General features: G+C 39.7%; 1 protein-coding gene across 25 annotated transcripts in view, besides 4 other annotated features; it reads left to right on the top strand.

The window, feature by feature from the left end:
* ITSN1 (intersectin 1) overlaps nucleotides 1-19,370 on the top strand; it is a 257,361-nt gene that overhangs the window by 38,066 nt on the left and 199,925 nt on the right. For 2 of the 25 annotated variants that reach the window (XM_017028428.2, XM_047440945.1), the window contains exon 2: nucleotides 8,756-8,817. The exons of the other annotated variants lie outside the window; for them this stretch is intronic. The gene's annotated coding sequence lies outside the window, so the exon portion shown is untranslated. The remainder of the gene's footprint in view (nucleotides 1-8,755; nucleotides 8,818-19,370) is intronic. 25 annotated transcript variants of the gene reach the window in all.
* Nucleotides 11,027-11,553: an enhancer, noted in NCBI's record as "OCT4-NANOG-H3K27ac hESC enhancer chr21:35063898-35064424 (GRCh37/hg19 assembly coordinates)". NCBI's record gives its function as "activates a minimal SCP1, AML or CMV promoter by ChIP-STARR-seq in primed H9 embryonic stem cells {active_cell/tissue: H9 hESC(primed)}" and the evidence as "EXISTENCE:reporter gene assay evidence [ECO:0000049][PMID:30033119]".
* Nucleotides 11,554-12,080: an enhancer, noted in NCBI's record as "OCT4-NANOG-H3K27ac hESC enhancer chr21:35064425-35064951 (GRCh37/hg19 assembly coordinates)". NCBI's record gives its function as "activates a minimal SCP1, AML or CMV promoter by ChIP-STARR-seq in primed H9 embryonic stem cells {active_cell/tissue: H9 hESC(primed)}" and the evidence as "EXISTENCE:reporter gene assay evidence [ECO:0000049][PMID:30033119]".
* Nucleotides 15,296-15,914: a transcriptional cis regulatory region, noted in NCBI's record as "H4 fragment used in the reporter construct". NCBI's record gives its function as "negatively affects activity of a beta-globin enhancer-driven SV40 promoter in transfected K562 erythroleukemia cells {active_cell/tissue: K562}" and the evidence as "EXISTENCE:reporter gene assay evidence [ECO:0000049][PMID:30886051]".
* Nucleotides 16,182-16,683: an enhancer, noted in NCBI's record as "H3K4me1 hESC enhancer chr21:35069053-35069554 (GRCh37/hg19 assembly coordinates)". NCBI's record gives its function as "activates a minimal SCP1, AML or CMV promoter by ChIP-STARR-seq in primed H9 embryonic stem cells {active_cell/tissue: H9 hESC(primed)}" and the evidence as "EXISTENCE:reporter gene assay evidence [ECO:0000049][PMID:30033119]".

Raw genomic sequence — 19,370 nt, forward strand, 5'->3', positions numbered from 1 at the left:
GTGATCCACCCACCTCAGCCTCCCAAAGTGCTGGGATTGCAGGCGTGAGCCGATGTGCGTGGCCTGGTGCCATACTTTCTGCATTTTTCTTTAAGGAAGGTTCCAAATGTCTGAAGTCCACCAAATGTCTGAAGTCCTGCCCAGACTTTTGGAGAGAAAACACAGCAAAGCAATCAGTAGGTTAATGACTGCATGGTTTCTGGACCAAATTATCCTCATCTACCACTTAGAACATTAAGTTGTAAACCAGAGTCAGCACAGCCAGGGTGGAGATTACTTATTTGTATCCCTTGCTCGTAGGTTATTTAATATTCTCTGTTGTGTCAAAGTTTAGTCGGGTATATTAATTAGTCAGCTTTTGCTAAATTATGTTGTGGTAACAATCTCCAAATCTCAGTAGTTTACGACAACAAAACTTTGTTTCTCAGTTTAAGGCTCTTTGTGGGCTTCATGCCATGGTAGAACCTCAAAAGTGGCATGTGCCATTTCAACTCATACTTCATTGGCCAAAAGCAAGTCACGTGGTCATGCAGGGCCTCAGTAAGCAAGAAATATTTACCCGCCCGGGGATGGACAGGTAGGAAAGGGTCTGTTAAGGAAGGGCAGCAAATATTTGGATAACAGTACTATGTGTTTGTATGGAGCGATATTTAAGAAGGTTTCCTAGGTTTTTTGAGGGGTATTGAAGCTGAGAGGTTGGGGGCAGGCAGGAAGCTCTGCAGCCTGTAGCCTATGGTATCAAGCTTCATGAGAACGAGAATTAACTAGTTACATCTTTATTACCATTTTTGGCATCTCTGCAGACAGTGGATCTAATGCATGATAGCTGATTAATAAATGTTTGTTGAATTAATGAACAAAATAGCAAGAAAGTAACGTATTCTGAGGCAGGAGAATTGCTTGAACCAGGAGGCAGAGGTTGCAGTGAGCTGACATCATGCCATTGCACTCCAGCCTGGGCGACAGAGTGAGACTCCGTCTCAAAAAACAAAAGAAAGTAAACAGATTATTTTCATGCTATTTGATGCCTCCGCTTAGTTTGGAACCAGTTTTTATTTTATTTTATTTTATTTTATTTTATTTTATTTTATTTTTTGTTTTGTTTTTGTTTTCGTGTTTTTTGAGACGGAGTCTCGCTCTGTCGCCCAGGCTGGAGTGCAGTGGCGAGATCTGGGTTCATTGCAAGCTCCGCCTCCCGGGTTCACGTCATTCTCCTGCCTCAGCCTCCTGAGTAGCTGGGACTACAGGCGCCCACCACTATGCCCGGCTAATTTTTTTGTATTTTTAGTAGAGGGGTTTCACCGTGTTAACCAGGGTGGTCTTGATCTCCTGACCTCGTGATCCACCCGTCTCGGCCTCCCAAAGTGCTGGGATTACAGGCATGAACCACCGCGCCTGGCCTTGGAACCAGTTTTATAGAGCAGTTCCTACAATAGCTCCTTTTATATTTAAAATGAAAAGTGCTTTCTTGGGGGTCATTTTGCCATACCAAAAGATTATGTGCTTAAAAAAAAAACTACATACTAATTACAGAAAAAATTTTAAATATGCATTAAATACAAGCAAGTAGAGGTTGTGTTCTATTTGGCTACTCAGGACAACTATTGGTGTTTTGTTATATATCCTCCTATATAATTCCTTTCTTTCTTTTCTTTTTTTTTTTTTTGAGATGGAGTTTCACTCTTGTTGCCCAGGCTGGAGTGCAATGGCGCAATCTCAGCTCACCGCAACCTCTGCCTCCCAGGTTCAAGCGATTCTCGCTTCTCAGCCTCCCTAGTAGCTGGGATTACAGGCATGCGCCACCACGCCCGGCTAATTTTGTATTTTTGGTAGAGGCGGGGTTTCTCCATGTTGGTCAGGCTGGTCTCGAACTCCCGACCTCAGGTGATCCACCCGCCTCGGCCTCCCAAAGTGCAGGGGTTACAGGCATGAGCCACATAGTGCCCAGCCTCTTTCTTTTCTTTTCTTTCTTTTTTTGAGATGGAGCCTCTCTCTGTTGCCCAGGCTGGAAGAATACAGTGGCACCATCTTGGCTCACTGTAACCTCTGCTTCCCGGGTACAAGTGATGCTTGTGTGTCAGCCTCCCAGTAGCTGGCACTACAGGTGTGCACCACCACACCCAGCTAATTTTTGTATTTTTAGTAGAGACGGGGTTTCATCACATTGGCCAGGCTGATCTCCTGACCTCAGGTGATCCACTCACCTCGGCTGCCCAAAGTGCTGGGATTGCAGGCTTGAGCCCTTTTTTTTTTCCCCATATGGCTTCTGAACATTGTTTATATTTATTGTCACACTAGGATCACTTAGTTTTGTACTTTTAGTAGTATCTATTGCTTTATTTGTTATGTTGCCAATCGGCAGTTGTAAAGGTCGTAGATGAAATAGACAAGTATTTATAAGATTAATTTTATCTTACCCTTGTTCTCTTTTTCTCTTCTTGAATTTCCTCCTTCAAATATATGAACTATTTACTTAACCAAACACTCTCTTTCTCTTCCCTCTCACCATGGCAAGAGTGAAAGGGACCAGAATGATGAAAGGTAGACAGTTGGCCTGAGGAAATAAGGTGCCTTGGCGATTCTCAGACTGGATAATCAGCTCCTGGGGAATCAGGCGCTGACTTTTTTTTTTTTCCTCCTGCTTTTACTCAGAGATCATCTTTTCATATTTTGGGATTTGTGCAGTCATTTCAATGATCTAAAAGTGAAGAGCTTGATAATAAGTTGATTTTAGTCCTACTGTCTTTTTGTGACGGATGTGCTAGATAAGCTTAATGTGAGTCATTCAAGAACCAAGCCCCTGTTTGAACCTGTCCATTGAGGGCCCTGTTTATCAGAGGTTGAAGCATTTTTTAGCTAGCAGCTGATCTTGGGTAAGCAAGCCATTGTACAAGTTCCCCATGCCTAGTTGTTTTGCATCATTAATCATCTTTTCTTCAAGCCATGGAAACATGGCTGAGTCTTGAGTCATCTGGCTCTTCCCAGTGCTGGAAATCCACCCTGCTGAGGTGAATGTGTGAAATATTTTTTGTTCTCGGTAGAGATCTGAGAACTGGTTTGTCTCCTGCAATGAACAGATTGAATTCCTTATAAATATGTTACTAAAAGGTACCTTTTGTGTCCATTTTACAGATATCTGACATGATTATTTATTAAACTCCTTTAAATAACTCCTGTGCTTAATGCAGTTTCCAAATATTTGAAATACTAAATGTAGATTTAGGGAACTCAGTGACCAGTTTTCATTTGCATTTTGATGAATTTCTCTATTTTAATATTTGTAGTTGCTATCCATTTTAGAAATATCCACTCTGCCAAGTAGGTTGGGAATGTGTGCAAGAATGACAGCTTAAATAATGTGCTTGTTTGCTATTGGAGCCGATGCCCCTAAGTAAAGCTACCAGATAAAGAGAGGAAAGGGGGAAAAAAGGAGGAGAATGAAGCCACCGTGTAACATCTGTTAGAGACTCAATGTGAGCCCTGTGAGTTAGTCTTCATTTCCCATGCTATGTTTTATTTTTATTTTTCCTGTTCCATTAAAGCATTTCGGTTAATTCTGTATAAGTAGAATGCTGATAACTCCTTAGAGAAATGTGATTCAGTAATAACCTTGTTTCCATGTGACTACTTATCTAATCTGCCATGCATCTGCTTTAAGGAAGGTGTCCATTAGGGTCAACTCACAGGTCAGACATTAATCTTAATTGTCAAATGTCTCAACTCATTGCTAGAGACTAAATTGATCTTGATGGCACTCATCTGAGTACCGATTCACACTAAAAGACAGTCAAGGGGTTGTTTTCCTTTGTGTGTTGTAATTCTTAGCAGGATCCTAAAAATGAAAGTTTTAAAATGTGGAATAGCATGATTAATGAGGACATTTATTAAGGTTAAGGCAGTTTAAAAGTTCAGTTTAATCTAAGGTTAGCTTGTAGGAACTGATATAAGAGATAGTTAAAAATTTGTTAAGCTTTACTTAAAACCTGTATTTGGGGGTAGAAACAGTTTTCCTAGGGTACTTATAATTTCCTTTAATTATCTCAGAAAGAGGGTCTCTTATTAGGATGAGGGAAAAAAATGACCCGTCATTCTTTTAAATCAGGTTTAATTTATTCCTGATATTTATATGATTCTTATATGTCATGTAATTCTTATGACATATAAGAGAGAAAACATTAATCTAGAGTAGGTAATTTCCTAGTTCAGCTTCTTCCACTTGTGTGAACTACAGAAGAACTGAAGAGTAATTGTAATTGTTTTATAACTTTAAAGAATTTAAGAGATTAAATTGCTGTCCTTGTGAATTCTTTGTTAAGTAACTCTCAAAGAAATAGTCAAGTTAAAGGGGATTTACTTTCTAAAACTAGCTTTCTTTTCTTTCTGTCTAACCTTTTATTATGAAAAATTTCAACATCTACAAAAGAAAGGAGAGTAGTATCATTACCCAGCTACAGTCACTGTTAACTCTCAGCTAATCTTGTCTCCATCCTGCCACCCTCCACTCCAGATTATTTTGAAGCAAATTCTAGACATCACTTCCTTTTATTAAAGCAAGTTGCGTTTCATAGTGACAATAGAAACCATTTACTCTTGGCACAGGTGCTAAGGTCTGAATACAACTTTAAGGAGACAGTGTCTGCATTGAAGAGCTTATGTTTTAAGAAAGGAGTTTATGTTTTCACTGGATATACTCGGCGTTCAGGGAATCAGAGACTTTCTTCAAGTTTCCCTTGTCTTTTAAATAGGGACGTATTTGCAAGTTCTTATCTGTTTGGAAATTCCTGTAGCAAGTTCAGGTTTAGTCATTCTGTACTGCTTTGGTGGTGCCTTATCTAAATAGTATTGAAAGGAAGAAAGAATTATTTCACCAAGAGTTGGCCTTGAAAGGAGTTAGATGTATTGGGTATATTTAGGAAGTACCCCTTCAACGCTGTAATAATATACCAACTTTTAAAGCTACCTCATAATAGCTCTTAAAAACACATTTAAAACACTTAGAGGTGATCCTTTTTCCTAGCCATCAGTGGGACAAATTAATTCCTTTTTGAGTAAAAAAAAAAAAAAAAAAAAAATTCTCTTTTTTTAGTACTCAAGATCAGCAAGTATTGGTTGACTCATTCTTTGTTGTTAAACCTCTTGGTTTCTCAGGCCAGTGTGTCTTTTTGTATACTTTGACCTTGCACTTTAAACTGAATTCCTTTTGTCCTTTGAGGGAGGCATAAAGCTGTCAGTTCCTGTTGGTGAGTGTGGGAAATTGAGTTTTCACTCTTCTCTATAATTTCTGCATTTCAAGTGGTTTTAATAATAATCATAACTATTTCTCAATTTTACTTCTTAAAAAAGTAGATTCATCAGACTGAATTGAATATTTGTTTTCCTTCTAAAGCTGAAGCCAATTTTGCCATACTTGTTTGTGCATTCTTAAGAGTTTAGTACTTAAGCATAGAAAACTGTGGGGTTCACATTTATATTTTGCTTTATTACAACTTAGAAGGTAATTGATGACTTGGCTCTGTGGTATGCTCAAAGTGCTGGACTGAGCTAGTTCAAGAATGTCATTAGCAGTGAATGGGAAATATGTGTCTACTTTTCTTCAGTAGCTAAACAGAAGTAATTATATATTTACATTCTACCTATTTCATAGGGATGTTGTTAGAATTACTGTGATTAGATTTTTTTTTTTAATTTCCAAATGTATTTAAGCTTCTTTACAGATAGGTGCCATATCAAAGCAAGGTGTTAATGTCATTTTTCTCAATTTGTGTTTTTGTCACTAGAAATATATATATATTGCTTTTTCTCTTTTCCTGGTATATTTTTCTGATAAATGTTTTGAAATTTGTTATCTTAAGTTTTTCATAGCTGGAATGCTAGAAAAGCATTTATGTCCTATTTTTAGTGCAAGTGATGAGTCTGGCTGGGTGGGTAAGTTAATGGCAAGGTAATTGAACTGTGCTGAGTGCTCGCCGATGTATCCTTCTGGCCTCTCCATTTTCAGGGTAGAGTTACTGTTTACAGTGACATGTTTCACAGTCTGTGTGACCAGCCAGTGTGAATCAGTTCGTCTATTGCCTGGCTTTCTTGAGCTCAATTTTTGTCTCATTTCCCCTTTCCATTTTATATATCACATTTCAAGATGGATGATCTACTTGTCTAACCACTCCAGGGAAGATTGGTGCCATCTAATAAAGTCAAAATGAGGTCCTGCATGTTACCTGGCATAAATTAGAGAATTATAGAATGAATGTGTGAACAGATCTGAGACTAGAGCTAGGTCACGAAACTCCTCAGTTTTTTTGGGTTCTCATTATGTGTTTATGGATGGAATTGTTCTCTTTATCTGGTTTGGGTGGTTTTGTTTGTCAGTGGCCAATGTGGTGGATATTTCAACACAATTTGGACATGCTTCCTATATATTTTGCAGAATGGTCTTTTTCTTTTGGTTAACTTTATAACTAATAGTTAAAGAATTTTCAAGCCTCAGCTGGGTACGGTGGCCCATGCCTGTAATCCCAGCACTTTGGGAGGCCAAGGTGGGCAGATTACCTGAGGTCAGGAGTTTTGAGACCAGCCTGGCCAAAATGGTGAAACCCTGTCTTTACTAAAAATACAAAAATTAGTCAGGCCTCACTCCAGCCTGGGTGACAGAGCGAGACTCTGTCTCAAAAGAAAAAAAAAAAAATTATTTGGGCTTGGTGACGTGCACCTGTAATCTCAGCTACTCGGGAGGCTGTGGCACGAGAATTGCTTGAACCTGTGAGGCAGAGGTTGCAGTGAGCCAAGATCGTGCCATTGCACTTCAGCCTGGGCAACAAGAGCAGAACTCCATCTTAAAAAAAAAAAAAAAAAAAAAAAAAAAAAAGAATTTTCAAGCCACATTAGGATGCTTATCGGCATGAGTTTTACATAATAAGACAATCTGAAATGTATTTGAGTTTTGATGTTTCTAATCTGTAGAACTTGAAGGCCTAAGGATTTTGTAGTTTTTTAGGGAACAGCATTCCTCTTTCTCTCAGGTGATCTATGTTATGTTGACCTACTCAAACATGTTAACTTTGAAAATGAACCAACGTTCAGGAACAAATGAAATGACATTTTCAGGACAGCATTCCAAATACATAGTTAGGGACAGTTGTTCGTAGCTTCTGGAGTGTTTGAAAATGGCCCTCATATCATACAACTTGAATTGGCATTCATTGACAATCACTTTGCTTTTAAAAGATGCTTAACAAAGAGTTGTAAGTAACATACTTTGAGACTGAGTAAATAAAATAAACATGCGAACCTTTGATGTTAAGCTGAGTTTGTTTGATTTTTCAGGCTGAATATACAAAGACTGTTTCTAGGAAAACTTGTGCTTTGTACAGATAGAGGAACCTCCTAAGAATTTTGATTGTGGCTTCCAAAATAGCAGATTTCTAGAATATGATTACCTACTTTATCTAAGATTTCAAAAAGCTGCTTTGTCTATTTTATGATATAAAGTTTTCAAAAAATCATCACTGTTTTGTTTGCCTTTTTTTTTTTTCTTGAAAAGGCATGTGTTTAAGCATCAGCCTTATTAGCTGGACTGTTATTTCATGTATTTCTGTTAGAACGCTGGATAATGGACTTGAAACTTACATGGCTAATATAATACCATGAAGTTTAGGAAACTAAGGGCTCATTTCTGTTGTATTCCTTGGAACGTATGTGGGTTCAAGATCAAAATCATTATTTCTTCTTTGTTTTGGTATTTGTCTCTTTCGGGAATTAAAATTTGTTCCCAAACATTCGTAGGACTACACTGTAGCAGGAATCTGAATAGAAAACACTCCTTGTTTAGTTCTGAGTTTATGTGGATGAGGACTAAGTGACCATTGAAGGTGGAAGGGTGATCACAGAGATTACTCAGAACTTAATTTATTAATTCTAAAATGCGTTCATTGAATACACATGGTTTGTGTGCTTTTTATGGGCCAAACCATGTAACAGAGGCTGGGAATGCAGTTCTTGCTCTCAGGGGAATGTAGTCTTGTCTGAGAAACAGACAATGAACATCAGTTTCCAATAGATCTAGTTGTAGGCTTAGAGCATGCAGAGGGAACAACAGAAAAAATCCACTGAGACCATTCTGGGGTCCAAATAGGACCCATGGCCCAAGTTTAGAATGGCAAGAAAGAGGAAAGACAGAGGGAGCTTGGGCAGTGTTCTGCAAAGGATAAATTCAGTTCTCTAAGAATAGTTCACTAGTCCTTTTTTTTTTCTTTTTTTTTTTGAGATGGAGTTTCGCTCCTGTCACCCAGGCTGGAGTGCAGTGGTGCAGTGGTGCAGTGGCACGATCTCGGTGCACTGCACCCTCTGCCTCCCAGGTTCAAGCAATTCTCCTGTCTTAGCCTCCTGAGTCACTGGAATTACAAGCACGCCCGGCTAATTTTGGTATTTTTAGTAGAGATGGGGTTTCACCGTCTTGGCTAGGCTGGTCTTGAACACCTGACCTCAGGTGATCCACCCACCTCGGCCTCCCAAAGTGCTGGGATTACAGGCATGAGCCATTGTGCCTGGCCTGGTCACTTGCTCATAGTTATTAATCTGAAGAAGTTCTACAGTAAATCAAATGTTCAGGATTGCCTAATGTTGACTTACTGATTTAGAATATCATTCTCTTGGTATGCTTCTATAAACTACCAGTGCTCAATTTTTCTTTTCAATTTTGAACTTGTTGATGGACAGTGTCTACAGTCTCTTGACAGTTATGTAATTTGTGTCTATTTAGGTTTAAGCTGTCACCTTCCCAAATGCGGCATCTGTGTAGCCCCAGAGGGAGCATTCTAAAAGGTAAATCTGAGCCTGGCGCAGTGGCCCAGGCCTGTAATCCCAGCACTTTTTGGGAGCTGAGGTGGGAGGATCACTTGAGTCCAGGAGTTTTAGACCAGCCTGGTAGCAAGACCCTGTCTCTACAAAAAATAACAATAAATAAAATTAACAGGCACAGTGATGTATACCTCTAGTCCTAGCTACCGTAGAGGCTAACATGGGAGGATTGCTTGCACTCAGGAGTTCGAGGCTACAGTGAGCTATGATCGCACCACTGTACTCCAGCCTGGTAGCAAGGGCCTATCTCTAAAGAATAAAAAATAGACTAGGCATGGTGGCTCATGCCTGTAATGCTAGCACTCGGGGAGGCTGAGGCCGGTGGATCACCTGAGGTCAGGAGTTCAAGACCAACCTGGCCAACATAGTGAAACCCTGTCTCTACTGAAAATACAAAAGTTAGCCGGGCATGGTGGCGCACGCCTGTAATCCCAGCTACTCAGGAGGCTGAGGCAGGAGAATCGCTTGAAATCGGGAGGTGGAGGTTGCAGTGAGCTGAGATTGCACCACTGCATTCCAGCATGGGCGACAGACCAAGACTCTGTCTCAAAAAAAAAAAAAAATAATTAAAAAAAAAAATAAGGCCGGGTGCAGTGGCTCACACTTGTAATCCTAGCACTTTGGGAGGCCAAGGCAGGCGAATCACTTGAGGTCAGGAGTTTGAGACCAGCCTGGCCAACATAGTGAAACCTCATCTCTACCAAAAATACTAGCCTGGCGTGGTGGTGCATGCCTGTAGTCCCAGCTATTCAGGAGGCTGAGGCAGGAGAATTGCTTGAACCTGGGAGGTGGAGGTTGTAGTGAGCCAAGATCACACTTCTGCATTCCAGCCTGGGTGATAGAGCAAGACTCTGTCTCAAAAAGAATTAAAAATAAATGAACAAAAATAAGCCAGGCGTGGCCCGGTGCAGTGGCTCACCCTGTAATCCCAGCACTTTGGGAGGCTGAGGCAGGAGGATCACGAGGTCAGGAGATCGAGACCATCCTGGCTAACATGGTGAAACCCCGTCTCTACTAAAAAATAGAAAAAAGTAGCCGGTCATGGTGGCGGGTGCCTGTAGTCCCAGCTACTCGAGAGGCTGAGGCAGGAGAATGGCGTGAACCCGGGAGGCAGAGCTTGCAGTGAGCCAAGATCGCACCACTGCACTCCAGCCTGGGCAACAGAGCGAGACTCCGTTTCAAAAAAAAAAAATTAGCCAGGCATGGTGGTGGATGCCTGTAATCTTAGCTACTGGGGAAGTTGAGGCAGGAGAATGACTTGCACTGGGGAGGTGGAGGTTGCAGTGAGCTGAGATTGCACCATTGCACTCCAGCCTGGGCAACAGAGCAAGGCTCTGCCTCAGAAAAAAAAAAGTGTATATATATATATACATATATATATATATATATATATATGTATATATATATATATATATATATGTAAAAGTTAAAAAAAAAAAAAAAAAGACCCATTTCTGCCGAAAATCTTTCAGTGACTCCATCACCCCAATGGGCCATGGGCAAGTCCTGTTTCCACTCTCACATCCTTGCCTTTGGGATTGTTTTCATTCCTGCTGAGTATTTACCCTCACCTGGAAAGCAGCTGTGTGAACTTCTCTTCATCCTTCGTAGGCTGGTGGCCTTTCTTCCATGCTCAGTTAATCAGTTTCTCTTCTCTGCTTCCTTTGTTCTTTGGCCTGCTCTGCGGTGTTGTATGAAACACACTGTGCCAGAATTGTTTGTTTACTTTCTGTTCCTGTTCTAAATATGAGCTCTTTGAGGCAGGACCTGTGTCTTTCTTTGGACCTTTACGTTTGTCGCAGTAACTGTCATATAATAAACAGTCAATACTTGATTTAAGCTGAGCAATGTAACACTTAAACATTAATTTTGTTACATTTACTGGATTATAATGGTGACTGAAAAAAACATTTTTAAGTTTTTTACTCCACCTGGGACAATTCTAACTAAGTGTTTTACTTATGTTAAAACTCATTTAATTATCTTTGTTAAAGAATTACTCTGATGCTTGTTAAAATAGTTAGGAAGACTTTATTCAAGACTATTGCAATGGCGGGGAGAGATCCAGCTCAATTCTGAATCCAGCAAGGACAAATAGAGAATTACAGTCAAGTAGCAGAATATGGTCAGTGAATGGTAAATTGCTAAGTGGAGACATCAAGGTCAGTAGATCTTATAAAACTGGCTTAGTCTGCTTGGGCTACTGTAACAAACTACTATAGACTAGATGCCTTAAGCAATCGAAATTTATTTCTTATAGTTCTGGAGGCTAAGTCTCAGATCAAGATGCCGACAGATTTAGTTCCTGGTGAGGGCCCTCTTTGTGGTGTGCAGACAGTCACCTTCCTGCTGGCAGAAGGAGAGATCATCTCTCTGATGTCTGTTCTTATAAGGGTACCAATCCCATTCATGAAGGCTCCACTCTCATGATTTTAATTACCTCCCAAAGGCTCGCTTTCCAAATACCATGACCTTGGGGATAAGTGCTTCAGTGTATGTATTTTGAGAGGACACATTTGGTCCATGGCACTGACCTAACAAGATTGTTGCCGAAGGCAGGCCTAGAATGTATACATCAAAGGTGGGGGTGAGGAATTTGATCAAATATCAAAGGTGATCAGATATCTCAGATGGGGGTGATTCTCACTAAACTGACTTAGCAGGATTGTTTGTAAAACTGAGTTAGGTAGGCTGAAGACAGGAGGGGACTGGAGGAGGTTGCGGCTTCGTTGAGGAGGGCTCAGAGAAGCCTGAGTTTGGTCAAGGAGAGGGTCTTTGTCACTGTTAGGAGCCTTTTAACTTAGGTGCTAATTATACTAGCATTTTATAGACAAAGAATCTGAAGCTTAGAAAGAGGCTAAGCAACTCACGAGGTCCGTACCAGTAAGCACCCTACCTGGATTCTAGCTGGCGTGCTTTCTGTTCCATAACTTTAAAGCATTGATCATCTGGACCCTGCCTGTGATGGCTCAATTTGCTTTTGCTAACCTGCTGTGAGAATCAGTGGGAGTTTGCCTCTGCTTTAAAATTACTCATGGTCTTGCTGCCCTTAGTGCTGTCAATCCTGTGATTTCCACTGGAGCAACATACTCAGGTTACAACACTGGGTAACATTTACATTTTAGCAGCTTTCTTGAAATTTAAAATATATGTGTAAGTATCTCATTTATATGCATTTCTAGTTTCTTTATACAACAGAATAACTTCTTTTACATCAAATTTCTGAATTTGACTAAATTTAGAAATAATGGAATCTCATCCATTAAATATAGTCATAGAAGGAAGGAAATATGAAAATTAGGATTTCAGATGTTTGAACATAAAAGATAATTTTAAACATTGTCAGTAATCTATTTCTTTTTTTTTTTCGAGACGGAGTTTTGCTCTGTCACCCAGGCTGGAGTGCAGTGGCACGATCTTGGCTTACTGCACCCTCTGCCTCCCAGTTCAAGTGATTCTCCTGCCTCAACCTCCTGAGTAGCTGGGATTACAGGGGCATGCCAACATGCCGGGCTAATTTTTGCATGCCACCATGCCAGGCTGATTTTTGTATTTGTAGTGGAAATGGGGTTTCGCCATATTGGCCAGGCTGGTCTTGAACTCCTGACCTCATGTGATCCGCCCACCTCGCCTCCCGAAGTGCTGGGATTATAGGCATGAGCCACCGCGCCCAGCCCAGTAAAATCTATTTCTATGAAAAGCTCTTCAAATGTAGGTGAACGCTGTAAGCTTTATGAATCAACTGTTTTCTAAATGGTAATACATGAAATCTGACAATTTTTTATGTGATTTTATTCAATTTTCTAAGAAAAGTAAAAAATCAGATACATAGCCGCTCTTCTCTTGGGACTAGTCTTGATACCTTTTGTATTTTTATATAGTGCTTTGCTCATACCCTTCTTGCTGTTTTTTGTTTTGTTTTGTTTTGTTTTGTTTTTTTTGGTGGGGGGGTGGGGGATGGAGTTTTACTCTTATTGTCCAGGCTGGAGTGCAATGGTGTGATCTCGGCTCACTGCAACCTCCGCCTCCCAGGTTCGAGCAATTCTCCTGCCTCAGCCTTGCAAGTAGCTGGGATTATAGGCATGCGCCATCACACTTTGCTAATTTTGGTATTTTTAGTGGGGACAGGGTTTCACTATGTTGGTCAGGCTGGTCTTGAACTCCTGACCTCAGGTGATCTACCCTCCTCGACCTCCCACAGTGCTGGGACTACAGGCGTGAGCCACTGTACCCAGCCCCTTCTTGCTATGTTTTAGCCTGCAATGCTGTTCCCACTTGTGTCTATATAGCACTCCTAATTTAAATCATACACACTGCTATTCTGCAGTGATTTCTTACTCTTTCAGTCAGGGTTGGTAGCTTTTTTCTCTGGGCTTTCACAGTCCTGTGGAAGGGCACAGGGTTATCTTATCTGATACAATGTGTACGAAAGGAGTAACTGTATCATAGTAAAAGTTTTATATATAAGTGAAAATATTTACAACACTTTATCCAGCTTACAAGTTTTTGATATATTTTGTTTCTGTGTCTTAAACACAATGGACAAATACCTCATATAAAGTTTTATATTTTTAATTGTCATATATTTCATTATATGGATATATCTTTTTTGGAGACAGAGTCTTGCTCTTTTGCTCAGGCTGGAGTGCAATAGCACGATCGTAGCTCACTGCAGCCTCCAATTCCTGGGCTCAAGCGATCCTTCCACCTCAGCCTCCCAAGTAGCTGGAACTACAGGCATGTGCTCCCATACCTAGCTAATGTTTTGGTCTTATTTTTGTTACTTATTTATTTATTTTTAAACACTTTGTTGCTTAGGCTAGTGTCAAACTCCTGGGCTCAAGGAATCCTCCCAAACTTTGGCTACCCAAAGTGCTGGGATTACAGATGTGAACCACCATGCCTGGCTGGATGTTTCATAATTTACCTAACTGTTCCTATGCTATTGAACAGTTAAGATTATTTAAGTTTTTAATTGTTAAAAATAAAGTCATGGTGAATGCCTTTGGACATATATCTTTGTATTTTGGATTATTTTCTTATGGCAGATTTGCAGGAGTTTTGTTATTGGGTAAAATGGAAAGAACATTTTTCCTTTATTTTTTAAGAGAAAGGGTCTGGCCAGGCGCTGTGGCTCACACCTGTAATCCCAGCACTTTGGGAGGCCGAGGCGGGCAGATCACCTGAGGTCAGGAGTTCAAAACCAGCCTGGCCAACATGGCGAAACCCCGTCTCTACTAAAAATACAAAAATTAGCCAGGCGTGGTGGTGGGTGCCTGTAATCCCAGCGACTTGGGAGGCTGACAGGAGAATTACTTGAACCTGGGAGGCGGAGATTGCAGTGAGCCGATATCACACCACTGCACTCCAGCCTGGGAGACAGAGCAAGAGTGTCTCAAAAAAAACAAAAAACAAAAAACAGACAGGGTCTTTCACTCAGGCTGCAATGCAGTGGTGCAATCATGGTTCTCTGCAGCCTCCAACTCCTAGGCTCCATCAATCCTGCCTGAGCAGTTCCTAGGACTGCAGGTGCGTGCCATCATGCCCAGCTGATTTCTGTATTTGTTTTTTTTATTTGTAGAGATGAGGTCTTACCATCTTTCCCAGCTGGTCTCAGACTTCTGGCCTCAAGCAGTCCTCCTGCCTTGGCCTCCCAAAATGCTGGGATTACAGGCGTGAGCCACCGTGCCCGGCCACTTTTTTCTACTCTTGATATACTTACCTATGATACGCTTTCCAAAGGAGTTGTAACAGTTTGCCCTCCCACCAGTGGTGTGAGAGAGGGTCTCTTTGCTCTAACAGTATTAATATCAGATATCTGTATTAAACTTATTTATTTTGAGGCCTTACCTCTTTCCTTGTGGTAAACTTTCTGAACTAGGTTGACCTAAAGTAAACTGGTTTAGATTCCCAAATAAAATTGACAAAAACTTTATAAGATCCATTTTAAAAGTTGGAGTGTCAAGGAAATAGGAAAAGCTTTGTTAGAGAGGGAAATGTTATTCAGTGAAGTACATATTGAATGTGTGAACTTTTCTTCAGTAACAGTTGTTATCTTTTAAAAATCTTCTCCATGGTATTTGGAATTTTAAAGCTTAATACCTCTGCTGGATTTTGCAAGCGTGAAACTAAAACACAGTGAAATTTGAATGTGCAAACATACATAAACTGGAATTGTGAATAAATTAGATTATAAACCAAACACATTTTGAGTATAAGTGGGCCTTTAGAAAGTTTTTTATATTATGGGTAGAAGGTGAACCTTTCTAAAGAAAATAAGAAATTGAGGAAATCTAGGATTTTCTTCTTTTTATTTTGGATCTCAGTGTGTTTGTGATTTTTAACAGAAACGTTCTTTTCTGTACTTTAATGGTGCAGCCAGATCCATGTAAAGAAAAGGAGTGAAATCCCCAGGAAAGATGACCAGCAGCAGGATTCTTTTCAGCTTTTCTCCCTTTCCTCAGGCTTGAATATATTTCAGTGCACCTCAATCAAGTGAAGTGAGATTAAATATTTGAGTCATCTGTCTGTTGCCTTCTAAAATGGTCTGGCTTTCTGTTGGCTGCAGTCTATTTAGTGTTTTAGTGATGCTAATGTTATTGAATGGTTTTTAGTTCTAAAACTTCTAGTAGTGATAAATCTTGTGCATAGAAGTCCCCTAGGTCACTTAGCAGAGCGCAGTTGGTTTTTGTTAATGACTGCATTGTCCTTTGCTCTCATTCGTGATACCCAGTGACTTTTCATTGATGTTGCAGTAAGGCTTTTTTTTTGTTGTTGGACTTCTCCCATTCTTTACACATTGGTAAATAATCTTCAGCTGTAGCAGGAGGTAGCCAGCATCTATGTGTGGATCAGATTTATCAATATGTACCTGTGCAGATTGCCTTTATCTCCTGATTGGGCAAATACTTAACAGTCCTTAGCAGTCTCTCCATTGAGTTTTCCACCAACTCTAACTGGCAAAAGGACTCAGTTGTATTGGACAGGAAAATCTTATTGTCTTTGCTGTCCATTGTGGCACTAAAGCTGTGAAGATGTCATACATGTGAAGTATTCACTGGATTCTCAGTTACTTACTCGTTATCAAGGCTTACATGTAGCCAATTTAATTTTGATGAATATGTTTAAATGTAGGGCATTTTATAATTACTGGCTCATGGTTTTTTATACAGTATGTGCATATTTCATTTCTTTTACTACCGTCTTTCAGCCCATATTTAATTCATCCATTTGCAGCTGTTGCACTGTTTTGTTGAAACTGGCTTAAAAATCTGGCAGGAGGCTTCCCTACTTTCTTGCCCTTTTCGGTGTTATGGTGTTATTTTACACAGTTAGTACTTTCTATGTAGTTTCTTCTTTCCTAAAGCTGAAGGGCCATATCTCTCAAACTTTTCTCTGCTTACCTTTAACCACTGTTCGTGCCGATGAGCTGATAATACCAGGCTTGGTTGCTGGCTGTATTTAGAGGTATACAATTTAAATACCCAGAGATAAAGGTGACAGTAGTAAATTAGTGCACTGTATTGTCTTAAGACTAAGTGTGATTTCAGTTCTTATGCTACAACATGGAAGTTTATTTTAATGTTTTCCTTTATGTATGGGCTTTGCAATGGTTGAAACTTGAGTTTTTATTTGGAAGTTTTGGAAGACAACTTTTAGATTGTCTCTTTTTTTTTTTTTTGAGACGGATTCTCACTCTGTCGCCCAAGTTGGAGTGCAGAGGCGTGATCTCGGCTCACTGCAACCTCTAGCTCCCGAGTTGAAGCGATTCTCCTGCCTCAGCCTCCCGAGGCATACACGACCACACCTGGCTAATTTTTTTTTTTTTTTTTTTGTATTTTTAGTAGAGATGGGCTTTCACCATATTGGCCCGGCTGGTCTCAAACTCCTAACCTCAGGTGATCTGCCTGCCTCGGTTTCCCAAAGCACTGAGATTACAGGTGTGAGCCACTGTGCCTAGCCTAGATTATCTCTTCTTTAGTGACTGTATATATCTACATTACACAGATGACAACATTTTGTTTTCCTGTAACCTAGGCCATTACATTTTTTTTTCATGTGACAAAGTGTTTGCAATTATTTGTGAAATTTTAATTTTTTCATCACTTATTAATTTATATTTGAGAGGACTGGAAAGTATGTGAGTTGAAAATAGTTTAAACTTATACAATCTCATTATTAATTTGGCTGTTAATTTGAATCTATTCCATAACTTATATTTAAAATAAAATTTTGATTTGAAAGGCTCTTATCTCAATCAGTGGTTCTTAAAATTATTGTTTGCTGTTTAGAGTTATATTTTTTTTCCAGGAAGTACTTTTTTAGCTTTCAGGAACTTGATATAATGTTTTATTCTTGATGACCCACTGGAAAATAGAACCTTCTAGAAGAAATAAAGTCACTTTATTGAAGCTTTATGAATGGCTCTCCTATCTGCATCTGTAGGGCTCTACAATCTGATTTTTCCAAACAAATAGACAAACTATGGATAATAACTTTTCAGATGTTACTTTGCAGTTAGTTGGTGGTCTGGAAGAAGAAAAAAGAGCTTCAAAGAGGGGACTGTTAATTCCATTTATCTCTTGAACAGGAATTGCTTTCCTGTCTTTCATTGCTGTCCCTTATTTTTCACCTTTATGTTGTAGCTAGGTTTTGGTTTTATTAGCTCCCTGATGAATTCTCTCTTCCTGCCAATATTAAAGTAAGGATGATTTAGAAGAACTGAGGTTAAAATCTGCCTATTGAAGCTCTCCAGGCTAGATACCCTGACATTTCTCTTTGTGGAAAGTAAGCAGGAGTAAAGGGACAAATCGTCCGAAATGCCATTGAGTGTTGCCAAGTGATGTGCTGACAGCTGTACCTGACAGTGATTGCTGGACCCTGGTCATTCCTGAGTGTCTCCTTTTCACCTCCCATCCCCTGCTGCCACTCCCCCCTAACAACAACAGAAATTCTGGGAGGAATGCCTGTTCCCTATTTAGAGGACAACTTGAGTGATCATGATAGTTTGTCAGATATAATGTGGACAATGACCTTTTTCAGTTTTAGTAATAAGATTCTTCTTTTTATCAGGTTCTTTATCCTTTATGCAGTTTTAAAATATTACTTATGAACAAGCTGCATATCCCTTTTAGGTCATCTTGTTCTTCTACTTCAAATAGCACATGTAGAAGCCACATTTGAGGCTCAGGGCTTCAGACATGACAATAGGGCATTGATCAGGTTGGCTATATGTTTGGGATTTGTCAGTTCCTTTGTCCATTTTTTGTCTCGCTTTCAGTACCTTTTCTCTGTGTTTTAAAAGGGCTTTGTGTACCTCTTGCCTTTATGTGTAATCTTACAGGGCAGCTTTCTTCTTTTTCATTCATTTCCTGCTCTAAGAGTCATCTCAAGATAGGAATCTGGTATAAGACTCACTTATAGAACAGGGACATAGGCTCTTCCAGTTGTTTTCATTCATTGCAGATTATTTTAAATAAGAGAAAGGTTTCCTTGTATTTTTCTTTAATGTTTTCCAATTTTGAATTGTTATAGATGCAAAGCCTTTAAAAGGATAATATGTGGAGGCAGTATTTGTTTGGGGTATCTTTTAATTGTTTTTCTAGATCAAGGACAGATATAGATAGATTAATACCTGAAACGAAACCCTAACAACTCTCAAATATCAGATAATTTTTTTTTATGTTTCTGAGGATGTTTTTATATCCTTTGAGATATTTAAAATATACACATTTTTATGTTTCTCCCACATTTGGACATTTCTTTCCCCTCAATGTTTCATTGATGCCACATTTCTACCAATTTTAATCTTGTATTCTATATCTTACTATCCTATAGTTTCTTCAAGCTGAAATTAGACCTTTTGAGCAACTTTAAAACAAATTTTTAAAAATATTTATTTATAAAAGATCAATTACACTTATTACCTTAGTACCATAATAAAAATCTGTTTCAAATAAATGAGTCTGAAGATGGGAAGGGACACCATTCAGTGGGTTTAGAAATAGACCTGTTAAAATACAAGTCCAGCTGGCTGGGCACGGTGCCTCATGCACTTTGGGAGGCTGAGGCGGGCAGATTGCTTGTGCTCAGGAGTTCAGGACCAGGCTGGGCAACATGGTGAAACCCTGTCTCTACAAAAATACAAAAATTAGCCAGGTGTGGTGGTACACACCTATAGTCCCAGCTACTTGGGAGACTGAGGTAGGAGGATGGCTTAAGCCCTGGATGTGGAGGTTGTGGTGAACTGAGATTGTGCCACTGCTTTCCAGCCTGGGTGACAGAGCCAGGTCCTATCTCAAAAAATTATAGAATAAATAAATAAGCAAGCCCAAAGGCAATTTCATTTTATTTTATTTAGAGACAGTGTCTGACTGCCGCCCAGGCTGCAGTGCCAGTGGTGCCATCATAGCTCACTACAACCTCGAACTCCTGGGACAAAAGCATTTTTTCCTGCCTCAGCCTCCCCAAGTAGCTGGGATTGTAGGCATGTACCACACACCCAATTTTTAAGTTTG

This window comes from Homo sapiens, chromosome 21, assembly GCF_000001405.40.
Source record: "Homo sapiens chromosome 21, GRCh38.p14 Primary Assembly".
NCBI lineage: Eukaryota > Metazoa > Chordata > Mammalia > Primates > Hominidae > Homo > Homo sapiens.